The sequence below is a fragment of the Homo sapiens genome, chromosome 20 (assembly GCF_000001405.40).
Source record: "Homo sapiens chromosome 20, GRCh38.p14 Primary Assembly".
NCBI classification, from domain to species: domain Eukaryota; kingdom Metazoa; phylum Chordata; class Mammalia; order Primates; family Hominidae; genus Homo; species Homo sapiens.
In genome coordinates, this window is record NC_000020.11 from 39,972,853 (window position 1) to 39,990,265 (window position 17,413).

The following is a 17,413-nucleotide window of genomic DNA, read 5'->3' on the forward strand; positions in this document are numbered from 1 at the left end:
AGCTATTTTTGTTGAATTGATCCCTTTACCATTATATAATGCTCTTCTTTGTCTTTTTTGATCTTTGTTGGTTAAAGTCTGTTTTGTCAGAGACTAGGATTACAACCCCTGCTTTTTTTTTTTTGCTTTCCACTTGCTTGGTATATTTTCCTTCATCTCTTTATTTTGAGCCTATGTGTATCTTTGCACATGAGATGGGTCTCCTGAATACAACACACTGATGGGTCTTCACTCTTTATCTAATTTTCCAGTCTGTGTCTTTTAATTGGGGCATTTATCCCATTTACATTTCAGGTTAATATTGTTATGTGTGAACTTGATTCTGTCATCATGATGCTATCTGGTTATTTTGCACACTAGTTGATGCATTTTCTTCATGCTGTTGTTGGTCTTTATATTTTGGTGTGTTTTTTCAGTGGCTGCTACCAGCTTTTCCTTTCCATATTTAGTGCTTCCTTCAGGAGCTCTCGCAAGGCAGGCCTGGTGGTGACAAAATTCCTTAGCATTTGTTTATCTGGAGAAGATTTTATTTTTCCTTTGCTTATGAAGCTTAGTTTGGTTGAATATGAAATTCTGGGTTGAAAATTCTTTTCTTTAAGAATTTTGAATATTGGCCACCACTCACTTCTGACTTAGAGTTTCTGCTGAGATGTCTGCAGTTAGTCTGATGGGCTTCCCTTTGTAGGTTACCTGGCCTTTCTCTCTGGCTGCCCTTAACATTTTTTCCTTCATTTCAACCTTGGAAAATCTGAGGATTAGGTTTCTTGGGGTTGATCTTCTCGTGGAGTATCTTAGTGGTGTTCTCTGTATTTCCTGAAGTTGAATTTGGCCTATCTTGCTATGTTGGGGAAGTTCTTCTGGAAAATATCCTGAAGTATGTTTTCCAACTTGGTTTCATTCTCCCCATCTCTTTCAGGTACTATAATCAATCATAGGTTCGGTCTTTTTACATAGTCTCATACTTCTTGGAGGTTTTGTTAGTTCCTTTTCATTTTTTTTTCTCTAATCTTATCTGCATGCCTTATTTCAGCCAGATGGTTTTCAAACTCTGATACTCTTTCTTCCAGTTGGTCGATTCAGCTATGCTTCACGAAGTTCTTGTGCTCTGTATTTCAGCTCCATCAGTTCATTTATGTTCCTCTCTAACTTGGTTATTCTAGTTAGCAGCTCCTGTATCCTTTTATCAAGGTTTTTAGCTTCTTTGCATTGGGTTAGAGCATGTTATTTCAGCTCAGTGGAGTCTGTTATTACACAGCTTCTGAAGCCTCCTTCTGTTAATTCATCTATCTCATCTTCCGTCCAGTTTTACGTCCTTGCTGTAGAGGCATTGTGATCATTTGGAGGAAAAGAGGCACTCTGGCCTTTTGGGTTTTCAGTGTTTTTTTCGTTGATTCTTTCTCAGCTTTATGAGTTTGTCTAGTATCAATTTTTGTGGCTGCTGACTCTTGGATGAAGTTTTTGTGGGGACTTTTTTTGTTGAGGCTGTTGTTGCTTTCTGTTTGTTTTACTTGCAATGTGCAGGTCCCTCTTCTGTAGGGCTGCTGTTGTTCGCTGGGGGTTCACTTCAGATGCTATTCATCTGGCTCATTCCTGCACTGGGAGATGCCACAGGAGAAGGTTGGAGAACAGCAAAGATGATTGCCCGCTCCTTCCTCTGGGATCTCTGACCTCAAGGGGCACCAACATGATGCTAGTAGGAATGCTTTTGTATAGGGTGTCTGACCACCCCTCTTGGAGGGTCTCACCCAGTTGGGTGGCATGGGGAGCAAGACCTGCTTAATGTAGCACTTTGTCCCTCCATGGAAGGGGTGTGCTTTGCTGGGGGGAAACCCACTCGTCTGGGCTCCCTGGATTCCTCAGAACTAGCAGAAGGAAAGACTAAGTCTGCTGGTCTGTGGAGATTGCTGCCACCTCTTCCCCTAGGGGCTCAGGCCCAGGGAGATCAGAGTTCTGTCCCTGAGTCCCTGGCTGAAGTTGTTAAAGTTCCTGCAGGGAGTCCATGCTCAGTGAGGAGGGATGAGTCAGGTTTAGGGCCTGAAGAGGCACTCTGTCTGCAGTCTGCCACAGCTAGTGTGTTGGGCTTTGGGGGATACCTCTTGGTACTAAGCGGTCCAGCCTCCCTGGCTCCAGCAGGGGAAAAGCGGGGCCTGGAGCTTTAGAAATGTCTGCCGCCCTTCCCCTACCCTGGGAGCTTAGTGTGTTAGGCAGCTATCAGTCTCAGTGTTGGCTGTTGCCCCTCCCTGAAGGAGCTCAAATGGCTTACACAGCAAGCAGCCACAGCTGTGGTGCTGGTCACCCCTCCCCACTGGGACCTTGGCAAGCTTAAGCAGATTCTAGCTGAGTCGCTGTTGAGAATCTGCATGGCTCCGTGGCTGGGACCCTAGGCCCTGGTGGCATGAGCTCATGAGTGTGATCTTCTGATCCATGGATTGCACAGTTCTGTGGAAAAACCTGTTTTCCCAGGCTAGGTAGCATGCTCACTCACTGCCTCTCTTGCCTGGGGGCTGACTGCTCCCCTGCCCCATGTGGCTGTCAGATGATCCACTACACCACACTGGTCTTCTTTCCTCTCTGTGGATAATGCCAGCCGCTTAGTCAGTTCTGATGAGAGAACCTGGATACCTCGGTTGCTGGTGCAGGATTTGCAGACCATTACGGTTCTTTTCAATGGGAGCCTCTGATCGCATTGCTTCTAGTCCGCCATCTTGGCCCCATCCCTGTGAACTGCATTTTTAAACACCTGTTTTTTTCTACTCCAAGGACATTTTCCTTAACATTGTCAGATTCTCCACTTCTTATGCCACTTTGACATTGTTCTATTGCTAATAGTAACACTTCTATTCTTATCAGTATATGCATTTAAAAATCCCTTAATATTTAAAAAATTTTTACATGGATGAGCTTAACTTGATGCTGTTGATGAATCTGAAAAAACTTAAATGTTATTTCTGTATTCTGTGACATCTTAAGGTTGGTAGAGAAAGTGTGGTTGGTAAAGAAAGTGTTTTATTTTATTGTAAATTTGGTAACTGATTCACAGATTGAGATTGATCTAGGACCACATTCCGGAGTCTTAATGTGAGTCATTAAGAGTGGTTTATTGGTGGCTGGAAGATTGGCAGCCCAGGGGGAAAGGGCCAGGACAGCTGCCATGGGGAAGAGCAACAAAGAGGACGATGGGGAGATATCATGTAGAATATGGACCTGCACTCATCAGCAAAGAGCTCCAGCCAGATCTTGGAATAGCAGGCTAAACACAGACCAAAGACACAGTAACTAATTGAGCCTTCCTGCAAAGTATAATAATTGATGTAAAACTTGTTTAGGAGTGGCAATTTATGGGAAATACCAACATAAAACTAATTTTTACAAAACATGGAATATGGAGGTCAGATTATAACATTTATTGGTGAACTGATTCCAATTATTAACAAAATTAGAAGCTCCTAGGTGTATGCACATCTGAGTAGGTCAATTAACATCATACTTACCTCGTAACCTACTGTATTAGATGTCTGCTATTTGCTGCCCCCACATTTAGTTCTCTTCAAGTAATCATAGTGTCCTGATTCTACTTTGGGGATTAACCTCTTTTCCATTCCCGCTTTCGTAATTAGATAGCGAGGGACTCCAGCCTCAAATGTAGATGTGGGCTTATACTGGCTTAAGTCAATAAGATTAATTTTTTTATTGTTTTGTCTTGTTTTAATTTTTTTTGAGACACAGTCTTGTTCTGTTGCCCAGGCTGGAGTGGAGTGGCATGATCTCTCCTCACTGCAACCTCCCCCTACCAGGCTCAAGCCATTCCCCCACCTCAGCCTCCCAAGTAGCTGAGGACACAGGTTCACACCACCACTACCAGCTAATTTTTGTATTTTTTGTAGAGGCGGGGTTTCACCATGTTGCCCAAACTGATCTCAAACTCCTGAGCTCAGCCTCCCAAAGTTCTGGCATTACAGGTGTGAGCTGCCACACTTGGTCCAGATTTTTTTTTTTTTAATCACTGTGATTGGCTCAAAGTTGGAGATATAACAAAATCACTACCAATGAAGTTCTAAGGGGATATTTCATGTGACTTCTGGCAGGAAAGGACATTTCATTCACCCTTCCAACAAATATTTTCTGAACAAGCTGGGTGCCCAGTCATGGCTAGGATTAAGAGATATTAATGGAAAGAAAGCACACTCTCTACCCTCAAGGTACTCTCAACGGAGGACACAGAACTATGAGTAAATAATTAGAATAACTAGTGCTGTATCTGGGGTATCGATGGATTGCAATAAAAGCAAAAAGTGAGGGATTATCCTTAGTGTTCATGTTTGAAGAAAAGCTAGATGGGAAATCACTTCAATATGTAGAGACATCAGCAGAAATTTCCAAAAGGATATGGTGTGAGGCTTAGGGTTTTCTGGATTCCTATTGGCTTCAGACACTTTCTTCCTGGATCTTCTGATTTGTCAGATAGCTTGTGTCTGTCCTTGAGAGATCTCCATTTCTGATTAGGCCAAATGATTTATTTTCCAGAACTTGATTTGCTAATATGCAAATGTCTGGGCACCCACAAAAGAAGTTGTCTCATCATCTGACCAATCATGCCTGTTCAAAAGATGAATACCGGTTTTTGGAGCCAAGATGGCTGAATAGGAACAGCTCCGGTCTACAGCTCCCAGCGTGAGCGACGCAGAAGACGGTGATTTCTGCATTTCCATCTGAGGTACCCAGTTCATCTCACTAGGGAGTGCCAGACAGTGGGCGCAGGTCAGTAGGTGTGCGCACCATGCGCGAGCCGAAGCAGGGTGAGGCATTGCCTCACTTGGGAAGCGCAAGGGGTCAGGGAGTTCCCTTTCCTAGTCAAAGAAAGGGGTGATGGACGGCACCTGGAAAATCGGGTCACTCCCACCCGAATACTGCGCTTTTCCGACGGGCTTAAAAACAGACAGCCAAATCATGAGTGAACTCCCATTCACAATTGCTTCAAAGAGAATAAAATACCTAGGAATCCAACTTACAAGGGATGTGAAGGACCTCTTCAAGGAGAACTACAAACCAATGCTCAAGGAAATAAAAGAGGATACAAACAAATGGAAGAACATTCCATGCTCATGGGTAGGAAGAATCAATATCGTGAAAATGGCCATACTGCCCAAGGTAATTTACAGATTCAATGCCATCCCCATCGAGCTACCAATGCCTTTCTTCACAGAATTGGAAAAAACTACTTTAAAGTTCATATGGAACCAAAAAAGAGCCCGCATCACCATGTCACTCCTAAGCCAAAAGAACAAAGCTGGAGGCATCACACTACCTGACTTCAAACTATACTACAAGGCTACAGTAACCAAAACAGCATGGTACTGGTACCAAAACAGAGATATAGATCAATGGAACAGAACAGAGCCCTCAGAAATAATGCCGCATATCTACAACTATCTGATCTTTGACAAACCTGAGAAAAACAAGCAATGGGGAAAGGATTCCCTATTTAATGGTGCTGGGAAAACTGGCTAGCCATATGTAGAAAGCTGAAACTGGATCCCTTCCTTACAACTTATACAAAAATCAATTCAAGATGGATTAAAGACTTAAACGTTAGACCTAAAACCATAAAAACCCTAGAAGAAAACCTAGGCAATACCATTCAGGACATAGGCATGGGCAAGGACTTCATGTCTAAAACACCAAAAGCAATGGCAACAAAAGCCAAAATTGACAAATGGGATCTAATTAAACTAAAGAGCTTCTGCACAGCAAAAGAAACTACCATCAGAGTGAACAGGCAACCTACAAAATGGGAGAAAATTTTCACAACCTACTCATCTGACAAAGGGCTAATATCCAGAATCTACAATGAACTCAAACAAATTTACAAGAAAAAAACAAACAACCCCATCAAAAAGTGGGCGAAGGACATGAACAGACACTTCTCAAAAGAAGACATTTATGCAGCCAAAAAACACATGAAAAAATGCTCATCATCACTGGCCATCAGAGAAATGCAAATCAAAACCACAATGAGATACCATCTCACACCAGTTAGAATGGCAATCATTAAAAAGTCAGGAAACAACAGGTGCTGGAGAGGATGTGGAGAAATAGGAACACTTTTACACTGTTGGAGGGACTGTAAACTAGTTCAACCATTGTGGAAATCAGTGTGGCGATTCCTCAGGGATCTAGAACTAGAAATACCATTTGACCCAGCCATCCCATTACTGGGTATATACCCAAAGGACTATAAATCATGCTGCTATAAAGACACATGCACACGTATGTTTATTGCGGCATTATTCACAATAGCAAGGACTTGGAACCAACCCAAATGTCCAACAATGATAGACTGGATTACGAAAATGTGGCACATATGCACCATGGAATACTATGCAGCCATAAAAAATGATGAATTCATGTCCTTTGTAGGGACATGGATGAAATTGGAAATCATCATTCTCAGTAAACTATCGCAAGAACAAAAAACCAAACACCGCATATTCTCACTCATAGGTGGGAATTGAACAATGAGATCACATGGACACAGGAAGGGGAATATCACACTCTGGGGACTGTTGTGGGGTGGGGGGAGGGGGGAGGGATAGCATTGGGAGATATACCTAATGATAGATGACGAGTTAGTGGGTGTAGCACACCAGCATGGCACATGTATACATATGTAACTAACCTGCACAATGTGCACATGTACCCTAAAACTTAAAGTATAATAAAAAAAATTCAAAAAAAAAAAAAAGACACTTCATGCAACAGATGTACAAATCAGATACTATTATCCCCATTTGACAGATGAGGAAATGGACTCTTCAGGCAATATTAAATAATTTTATTAAAGTCACAAAACCAAAAAAAAAAAAAAAGATGAATACCAGGGAGGATATTTTAACATCTGATGAAAGGCTACTAAATAGAGATAACTATAAGAAATAAAAATGAAAATTATAAAGAATAATCAAGTAATAAATTAATATATAAATACCAAAAATCTGGGAAGTTTTCTGAGCTGACTTAGAACTTTAAGAAATGCTAAAACAATTATGAAAAGCAGAAGTGATAATATTAATGGGTTCGGATGGGTAGACAATAAAATCAGAGGTGATAATATTAATGGTATTGAATGGGTAGATATTAGAACCTGAACCACAAAAAGAAGGTGTTGGAACCTAAGAAAACACAAGTTAACCAATTTTTTTTCTTGATTTTATGGTATTCAACAAACATTTATTGAATGTCTAAGTGCCACGAACTGGTAACTGATTCCTTGAACTGGCAATCATAAACTGAGCTGGAAAGTAGACCACTGAAAGTAATTTTTTTTAGTGGAAAACCAAAATATCAGGCCAAGATAATTACACTGAACTATACATTAACAAAGAACCTTTGCTGATGGGGCACAGTGGCTCATCCCTGTAATCCCAGCAATTTATGAGGCCAAGGCAGGAGGATCACTTGAGCTCAGGAGTTCAAGCCTAGATTGGGCAACACAGTGAGACACTGTCTCTACAAAAAATACAAAAATTAGCTAGGCATGAGGGCACATGCCTGTGGTCCCCACTACTTGGAGGGCTGAGGCAGAAGGATCTCTTGAGCCTGCAGGAGGTTGAGAGGCTACAGTGAGCTGTGATCCTGACACTGCACTCCAGCCTGGGTGACAAAGGGAAACCCTGTCTCAAAAAAAATAAATAGATAAAAAACAAAAAAGAAAGAAAAAAGAAAAAGAAAAAAAGAATTTTTGCTATCTACTTGAGTTAGGCAACAGATTTGCATTTTCAATAAGTTCCTGTTATTGCTCATTAGTAAATTATGTCTTATTTTTTATTATACCATCTGAGTACTGGAAAGATCACATTGCTATATAGGGACCTTGGCAGTCTCTCAATTTTGCATGTAATATGTTTAGTGTGTCAGAGCACGCATGTACATAGTATGAAACTAAGTTCATTTTCTATGTATTTATCATTAAACCTCAGGTTTTGAAGTCAGCAAGATCCAAACTAGCATTCTGCCTAGCTTAGTTACTTGCTTAGGAAAGTTATTTATATTTTCTGAGCTTCTATTGTTTTGTCTCTTAAGATGGAGGAGCAATACTTAACCTTCAGTTATTAGAATGACTAAATAAAGTTTCTTCTTAAAATATAGAACACTGTGTTTGACACATAGTAGGGCCTCAATGAGAATTTAATGAATGAGCAAATAAACGAATAGATAAATAATAGAAATAAAACAAGACAGAGGAATAATATGTGTCTAGATTTATTTATTCATTTATTTCTTGGAAACCATTTCTCACCACAGAAAAATGTTAGGTACATTATAGGCAGGATGAATAGATGTCTTAAAATTCATGCTATATTCTTAATTCTGGTTAATTTATTCTAATGAAAATTATACATTAAAATCATCACAAAATATAATTTAAGTTGTGTGTCAAGCTGTACTTTTTCATAGTAATGAATTTATTTTTCAGGGTATGCTGTGTGCATATAGTTTATTTACATATTTAGATATATTTCCTATTTATAATCAGAATTTGAATTATTGGGCCAGTTTTTAGCTAAATAGTTTATAGCTAAATTGTTTCCCAGTAAGTTTTCTAGTTTTTATCTATGAGAGGGCCAATTTGCCTGCATCCTCTTTAAATTATTTCTTAGGTCAAAGGGATATCTTTTCCTTAACAAAAAATGTTTTAATAGTTTACATCAAATTCACTGAAACTATATATCATGGCTAATGAAACAGGCTTTACTAATTTTTAACTACACTTCAAAAAATTTCTTGGATAAGATAGTTGGGTTCAATTATCATACAGAAAATCTGTGATAGTAGCAGCAAAATTTTAAAACAATAGACACTGATGTCCCAACTGGCACCCTAACGACTATGAATCTTTAATACCTACCATTGTGTTAAGCTTCAAGAAATGAGGCAGAGAAGAGGAGGGAGAAGACACAGTATTTCAGTGATTCTTTACAACTTGACAAAGTGTTATTATGTCATCTTTCAAATCCATAAGCCATTATTTTGCACCTTGGGGAGCAATACAGTAGTGCTCCAGATCCCACAGAATCACTTATCCTTAAAGTCTTCATATACTTTTCTCAGTCTATCCTTCTCTCAAGGGAAAGCAAACTTCTCTAGCTTTGGGAACGAGTAGGTCTTAGGTGTCAGCTATCACTTCTCCAGAAACAGGACACAAGATAACAAGCAAAGTGACCTTTGCAACTGTCTTTCTCAAAGGAAGCTGAGTCATTTTTCTCTAATTTGGTTTAAAAAAAAGATGTTTTTATTATATCGAGAGTAAGCACCATAACTTCTCCCATGGAGGAAGTTTTTCTTGTGAAAATACCTTCAAGAGGCATTTTGGCGTGGATGAGCCGGAGTGTGGTAGATTGATTGCAAAAAATAGCACAAACATTTCCCCTCCCTGTACTCATCCCCTTGCAATATGACTTTGCAGCTCCTCCCCTCGAGACAAAACTCTATTTGTCCACCATTAAATCTAAACTGGTTTTGTGACTTCCTTTGGCAATAGAATGTGGTGAAAGTGACAATCTACCACTCCGAGGCTAGGTCTCAAAGGCTTCTTCATGCATTGTGCTGGCTCTCTTGAAACCCTGTTCTGCTATGTGGATCAGTCCAGGCTACTCTGCTGGAGGAGGTGCAACCCATGACCCAAGCATGTGCATTTCCATAGCCAGTATTCAGCCAACCATTCCATTGAGGCCATTCTAGATTAGCCAACTCCTACCTGACTGCGAAAGTGAGCAAAGCCAGCTGGGATCAGCTGAGCCCAACCTAGAGACATGCAACTCACAAATAGATTAGTGACCAACAATAAGGGTTTATTTTAAAGTCCCTGAAATTTGGCATGGTTTATTACTCAGCATTAACTAACAGATACACTCACAAGCAGGAATAGCAGTAAGTATCAGGATATCAAAGACTGTGGGAAGCTACTCTACAGTAGCAACAGGGGAATCATGTTGGCTGTTGCTGATAGTTGCTCAAGGTGGCATAAAGAAAAGAGATGAGGATGAGAAGGGGAGAAGATCTAACAAAATGGGGAGTATATGTGATTATATTTGGGGGGCCCAGGGACTGTTAACAGTGACAGGACGGCCAAAAGGTATGTAAGAATGATGAGTTATTGTGTTGCCAGAAAGTGAGCATCCACTCCACTTTGCCTTCTGTGTTTTTAACACAATATATGTAACTGATTAATGCAGCACAAGAATAGATAGAGATCCTGTCCTTGTTTGTGAAAACTAAAGAGAGGGCTGATCATTTCTACTGGGTAAAGTGATGTGATACAAAGATAGCATGCTTGGACATAAGACCCTACAATGCTGAGCCACCTGGAGGAATATGACTCTCCATTTCCATCCCCTCACACGGAATTCACAAGGAATACTGAAGAGTGTTAAGACTTCCACAGACCATTGAACCCATTAGGTGGGAAGAAGGGAGGTTGAGTCATGTTTAGCTTCCTCTCCAGTGGAACAGAGATCTGCAGCTGGCATCTGAATAGCATTCCTCTCATGTAAAGGGTGGAGGGAATGTGTCAACACCAACTGAACACCTAAGCCTTATCTCATGTAATTCTGACAACTGCACAAAGAAATTATTTGTTATCCGGATTATGCTTAAAAGGAAACTAAGTTTCAGAGACATTAAGGAGCATACTAAATTTCACTCAGTTGGTGAGTGATAAACAGTATTTTAAATCCAAGATTGCCTGACCCTGGCCCAATAATCTTTCGATTCCACCACAACTGCCAGAAACATCTATCCACACATCAGGTGTATCCACAGCTGTTTGGTTTGTTGTTGCTGAAATTTAAGTATAACACCTCCCTTAGCAACTGAAAAGGCCCTTAGCTACCTGCAATATTTAACAACTACTTTCTACATAAATAGCTTCTGAAGGTTTTATCTTACAGCATAGTGGGTTCATGACAGCTTTTATCTGAGATGATGAAACAACAAAAATGCCTGGACTATGACCTAGAGCCTGCCCGGGAGGTGGTTGGTCAGGTGTAGTCTCTTGGGAAGTGCTGGGGACACAGATGTTCCAGATGGTTGAGACATTTCTTTCACTAGAGCATGGAGTGTAGAATTAGCCAAAATACCCAACCTCTAGGAAGGAAATACAGATGTTCTAAAATTGTGGTATCCAACTCTTACTTTTCAGATTTCTAGGATTCAACAGAGGTTCCTGAGAGGCCATTGCAAATGTCAGGGGGAAAAGTAATTCAATTAACAACAACAACGATAACAACATAGCTTATAATTGAATATCACCAGGCAGTGTTCTAAGAATTTTGTGTAAATTAACACATTTAATCATGTTTTTATCCTTATGGGCTACATATAACATTATCAATAGCCTCATTTTACAGATGAGTAAACTAAGACAAAGAGGGGTTAAGGAAATTACTCAAGGTTTTGCAGTAAGTGGTCCAACTAGAATTTTTTCACAGGCAGTTTTGTTTCATTGACCATGCTCCTACTCACCATAACGTACTATTTTTCAGGCAGAGAAAGTGTTTATTTTTTTAATTGCACACACACACACATACACACAGACACACACTCACACACACACACGCACACACACACCTTACATCTTCATGGGATTAGTACATTGGACCAGCAGGACTCACAGGATGCAATACCAAAGCAACTTCATTTCCCCCGTAATTGCTCACTCAAACCTGTGCCATGGATCAGACCTTTCCCTAACCCTGGATGAACTCCTGGGCAGAAAAGACCACACAGCTTCCAGATTCCCTCTGAAATAACCAAAGAAACTCCAGGCATTTTAGTTGCCTAAAATAGTGTCTGTTCACTGATGAATATCCCGAGTCCAGTGTAATATTTGAAATTCTGAGTTTCACTCAAAGTTAAAGCCTGTCCCTTCACTTGAACCTGCAATAGGTTGGAAATCCACTGATGGGGAAAGAGGGACTTTGTCTTTTCTACTCTGTTGTCTCCTTCCATCCCCTACCACAGCCTGGTGTTGACTTCGAACCTCCTGGTTGAAGCCAGGAGAGAAAAGAGGTGGAGGCTTAAAAATACCTTAATTGATGAGCACCCATATACAGATCGTTTCATATTACATTGCAATTGTGAAGGTATTTCAAAATGTTGTTTACACTTATCAATGTTTTAAAATTATGAAAATAATGATAGTTATTAGGACTGATGCTAAATCTGGTTATTTAATGTTATAAAAATTTTGAAATATTTTGATAACTCTACTTAAAGAGGATTCCTTTGGCAATTCTATGGATTTAATTTATGTACTTAAAAACAGTAACCTAAGAAGGGGTCATCTATTGCCAAAGACTGCTGAGAGAGTTTATAGCATAAAAGCACCTTGGTTTTGGGGGTTTCTTCTCCACCATATAATGTCTCAACTGTTGTCCTATCTCCCTTCCAGACAACCTTCTTGGGTAAAGTCCCTTTAAGGTGATAAGGGCCAGTTCTCTTCCTCCTGCTCATATGGCTGACATCTCCATGGGAAACATGCACCTTTACCAGTGCTTGGCAGAAGTGCAGGTACTCTGTAACCCCAGCAGCCCCTACTCCATCCGCTGTTCAGGTCTGCTAGTTAACTGGTATGCCCTAGTAGGGCGAACTGGCTTTGCATGTTTGAAGTCCTCTTGTAACAATTGGTAAATAACTTCTGCTCTGAGCTCCCGTCAAATCCTCTGCCAATACCCTTGCCTCCTCAGCCTCTTCCCAGGACCTCCAGACCTCCCACTATTCAGGAACCTAAAAGAAAATACTTGGCAAAGCCAGACCCTGCAAGAGCTGACTCCAAATGCACAAATGATTTCAGTTCTCATTTGTCAGTGCTCGGGCCTCACTAGTTGTTGGAACCCTGTGAAACATCCGCACTATTCATTACATCCAAAGGAAGCAATCTAACTCCCTAATTGGGTTTTTCCAGCCTCTCTCACTAGACTTGAGGCAAGGGGACCACATCCCCTACCCACCCCTTCTTGGAATGGCAGTAGGAAAAATACTCCAACACATTTTCCCAAAGAAATTCTCTCTTTAATCTAGCACCTCAATCTTTTTATACCTTTCATGTGGCTTTTGAACCTTATATATTGAGGGTCCGTATTAAATGTTCATTCACTGAAATTACTGCTGACAATCAATCCCTACACACCACACACACACACACACACCACACACACACACACACCTAAATGTGCTTGGCTATAAGAATTTCCCATGCAGCAGACTATTGAACTACAGATTTTTCAGCATTGGCATTTGGAAAAGGCTCAAACCTGAAGGCAGAGAAAACTAATAGCCTAAGGCCTCCAATCTAAAGATAGATTCTACTAATCCTAGGCTGGCTGCCTTGTACAGCTTTGCAATGTCTCCTCCACATGTGAGCCTGGCCCGCTTGCCTCTCCTGTTTCTACATTCTCAGTTCCTTGGCTGGCTCCCCCAGGGATAACTCTCAGTGCCTGCCTGATCTGTGTTACAAAGCAGACATGAATAGCCAGGCCAGAGAGCCATGTACTAATTTCCTGGGTGGCCAATCCCTCTCTCTCATATCCTAGTGCCATTTTAAGGGAAAAGAAATGTAGGACATGGAATAAACAGAGGGAAACCTGCTTGATTTGTTGTTAATGTGTCAGTGTTTTGTTTTGTGGGTTTAACTTGTAGAAGGCAGGTCTTTGTCTTGTTACTCTCTGGCATTTAACAGGGCCTGCCTTCAGTGACTCAGCCGGGTTTCCTTAGACAGAAAACAGCCACTTAGTGCCTTTTACACCACCAAGAAAATGAGATTATTCCTTGAGGAGATCAGCAGCTCTCGGCTGCTGTCGAAAGGGCGCTTTGCCTGTTTGTTTGGCTGAAAGGCACCACGCAGCCCAGGCTTGTTTAAAATTAGCTTCCTCATAAATCACTTGCACAATGAAGTGTCTGCCTCTGCCCTCTGACATATTTGTGTCTCTGTTTATTTTTAATGATGACATGGCTTTTTCTGTTTCCATTTGGCTCTTTACTCTCCACACTCCCAAGCACTAACTTCTGTGGCAAAAGTACAAAATCTAAGAAACTGCAGGGAAGAAAGAGTTCCTTTTCTACCAGCACATAAATGTAGTGGGGAAACTGAGTTAGCCTTGGGGGTATTTCTGGAGGAAATTGCCTCCTTTCTAACTTTGTCAGATTATAATATCCTGAAATTGTACTTTTTGAAAGAGTAAGAGGGTGATGGCAATATTCTGTAACTTGATAGGGGTCTGTGTTACACACGTGTATGTGTTTGCAAAACTCAATAAATGTATATGTACCTTACATGTAAGTTTTTACATAAAGAAAAAAGTAAACTAATAATGAACTCTAATAATATTTATACAGAACTATTTAAGAAGAAGTATACTAGTTTTCTCAATTTACTTTGAAATGCATCCAAAACTGTGATAAATTAATTGATGGATAGATGGACAGACGTGATAAAACAAGTAGAAAAAAAATGTTAAAGGCAAAATATAGATGGTAGGTACAAGTCTGTTCCCTGCAAAATTACTTCAACTTTGCTGCAAGTTTGAATATTTTTACAATAAATTATTAGAATAAATGCTCTCTTGGTGACCCACACTGAATCCTTGGAAACATCAGAGAGCCACAGCTTCTAAAATCCTGTATTCCACCCAAATTTTATTTTTAAAAATCTATATTTATATAGAGTTAAATTGCAATAATTTATGACAACAAGGAAAACAGTATCCTTGACCCAGTAAAAAGTACAAAATACAGAATATTCTAAGAGAGAGGGAAATTTTATTAGTTAGACACATAAGAACCTTCTTCAATTTAAATGGCATGTAACTAGAAGTTCTTAATGCAGCTCTCTAATCCAATATATAAAACACAAATGAAGAACAGTAAAGGGCATACAATGACCAAAACCCACATAGGATGAATTCAAATGGGCCTGGGGTGAGAAAGTCCAACCTTAGTGAACCCACAGTTACTGTTGAAACAAACAAACAAACAAACGAATACCCAGAAAAGTCTGAAACAAGGAAAAAAACTGGAGAATTCTTCTATGAATGCTACCTTTTTGAGGCAAGGTCTTTTCTTTCTTTCTTTCTTTCTTTTTTTTTTTTTTTCTGAGACAGAGTGTCACTCAGTCTCCCAAGCTGGAGTGCAGTGGCTCGATCTCGGCTCACTACAACCTCCGCCTCCCGGGTTCAAGTGATTCTCCTGCCTCAGCCTCCCGAGTAGCTGAGACTACAGGCGTCCGTCACCATGCCTGGCTAATTTTTGTATTTTTAGTAAAGACAGGGTTTCACCATATTGGCCAGGCTGGTCTCGAACTCCTGACCTTGTGATCCACCCGCCTCAGCCTCGCAAAGTGCTGGGATTACAGGTGTGAGCCATAGCACCCAGCTGGTGAGACAAAGTATTTTTATTTTCTTATTACAACTTTTGGAGACTTTGACTTCCAGAAAACAACCAGATAATTAGAAAAGAAGAGCTCTTAGCACATATTGCCATGGTACACTGAAAAATTACACTGCTTTGGCAAGAATGTGGACAGGAAAACTCATGGTAACAGTATATTGCAGAGGTAGTAGTTTGTTGTGCATTTCTTTTCTTCAGAATGGCAGTTGGAGTTGAAAAAGCCACCTCTGCAGCAGAGCTCAATAATATGAAAGTTGATTATTTTCCAATATGATATTGGAAGTTGTTCTAGTTATTGTACAATTAACCTGTCTTCTGGGGAAGGGAAATATACTCCTCCCGTGGAAGAGAGTAAGGAAATGAACAATAAGCTAATAAACCTTAATATCTAAATGAGTTTCTTTTCACAAATGAAGACCATGTACCCTTATTGACAAACACCAGCTCTTGATAAATGTCCAGTTTACTCATTCATGGATGAGTAAACTGAAAAATATTTTAAAATATATTTAATTGGCTATAAAATACACCTACAAAGTAATCTTCAAAGACAAGTCTTAAAAATGACATAAGAAAAAGTAAAAGGATCAGACAAAACTCCAAATCATGCAAAAACAGTCTGCATTTGAGGTGGTAAATAAAGAATTAACACTACTTGAACTTAAGATGTGAACATAAAGTACAATTTGAAAAGTTCTCAAAAAACATTGATGAGAAAGACAAAGGGAGGGAGAGAAACAGGATACAAACCATAGACTTGAATGTATTCCGCAGGAAGTACCCAAACTGAAAGGAAACAACAAAAATAAATAAATAAATAAAGTCAGAGAAAAGGTCTGAGAGCACATTGCCAAGGAGTCAATAGCATTTCAGGGAAGTTAGTGAAGAGGAGCCAAGTGTGGTTCCCTGCACAGCAGCCATGCAAAATGAGTTCAAAGGTTAAGAAAATGAGGATTGGAAAGTTTTGTTAGCTTGACCAAAGCCTAGATCTAGAATGGGATCTCAGGAATTTTATTATCAGAATCATAAATCAGAAATATCAAGTCTGTAATATTATTTGAAAATGCTGAAGTGCCACAAGTGACCATTTTGAGACTGAACTCCTCAAAGTTGTCACCTCTCTCTGAAACTCATTGTGCTTTAATATTCTTGCCCCATTGCCAGGGAACAACTAAATAACTTCCTTTGCTTTATTTCATTCATCCATTTCTCCTTACAAGCAGCATTAATGTTGTGCTGCCTTATTGGACACTTTAACATAGATCCCTGTCCAAAAAAAGCACAAATTTCAGTAGTGTAGGTAAACAACTTCAACATAACATATGGAGTACAGAGGGAGAGAGAGAAAAAACATGAGAGTCTGCAAGAAATTATCATTTGTGTTTTATAGTATTTTTTCTCTTATAGTTTACCCACATATTTATCATTTTCATAGTTCTTTTTGCTTCTTACATGTCTTACCTTTCATCCGGGAATATTTTATAATTCCCATTGGTAGCATCTGCTAGTGTTAAACTGTCTTTGTTGATTTTGATGATAAAATGACTTTATTTTACTTTTATTCTTGAAAGTTATTTATCTGGGCATTAAACTACAGGACGGGAGTTTTTTGTTGTTGTTTTCCTTTTTTTTTTTTAGCACATTGTATCTATTTTTTGTTTCCATTGTAATTGAGAAGTCAACTGTCAGTAAATGCTATTTGTTTGAAAGTAATCTCTCCTCTTTTCTCTGCCTCCTCTTAAAATTTTTCTCTTTGTACTGGGTTCTCTTTAGAATCACTATGATATGCCTGAAAGATTTTTTAATATCATTTGATATTTTTGGGTTTTCTGAATGTGTGAATTAGTGTCTTTCATCAGCTATGAAATCTTTTACACCCTTACCTCTTCAAACATTACGTCTGCTTCACTTTCTCTCTTCTTTTGCTTTCGGTGTTTTTATTTCTTATATGTTAGAATCTCTATATGTCTCC

The 17,413-nt window shown here is 39.6% G+C and overlaps 1 annotated feature.

Annotated features, from left to right (window-relative positions):
* Positions 12,938–13,641: an enhancer, noted in NCBI's record as "H3K27ac hESC enhancer chr20:38614432-38615135 (GRCh37/hg19 assembly coordinates)". NCBI's record gives its function as "activates a minimal SCP1, AML or CMV promoter by ChIP-STARR-seq in naive H9 embryonic stem cells {active_cell/tissue: H9 hESC(naive)}" and the evidence as "EXISTENCE:reporter gene assay evidence [ECO:0000049][PMID:30033119]".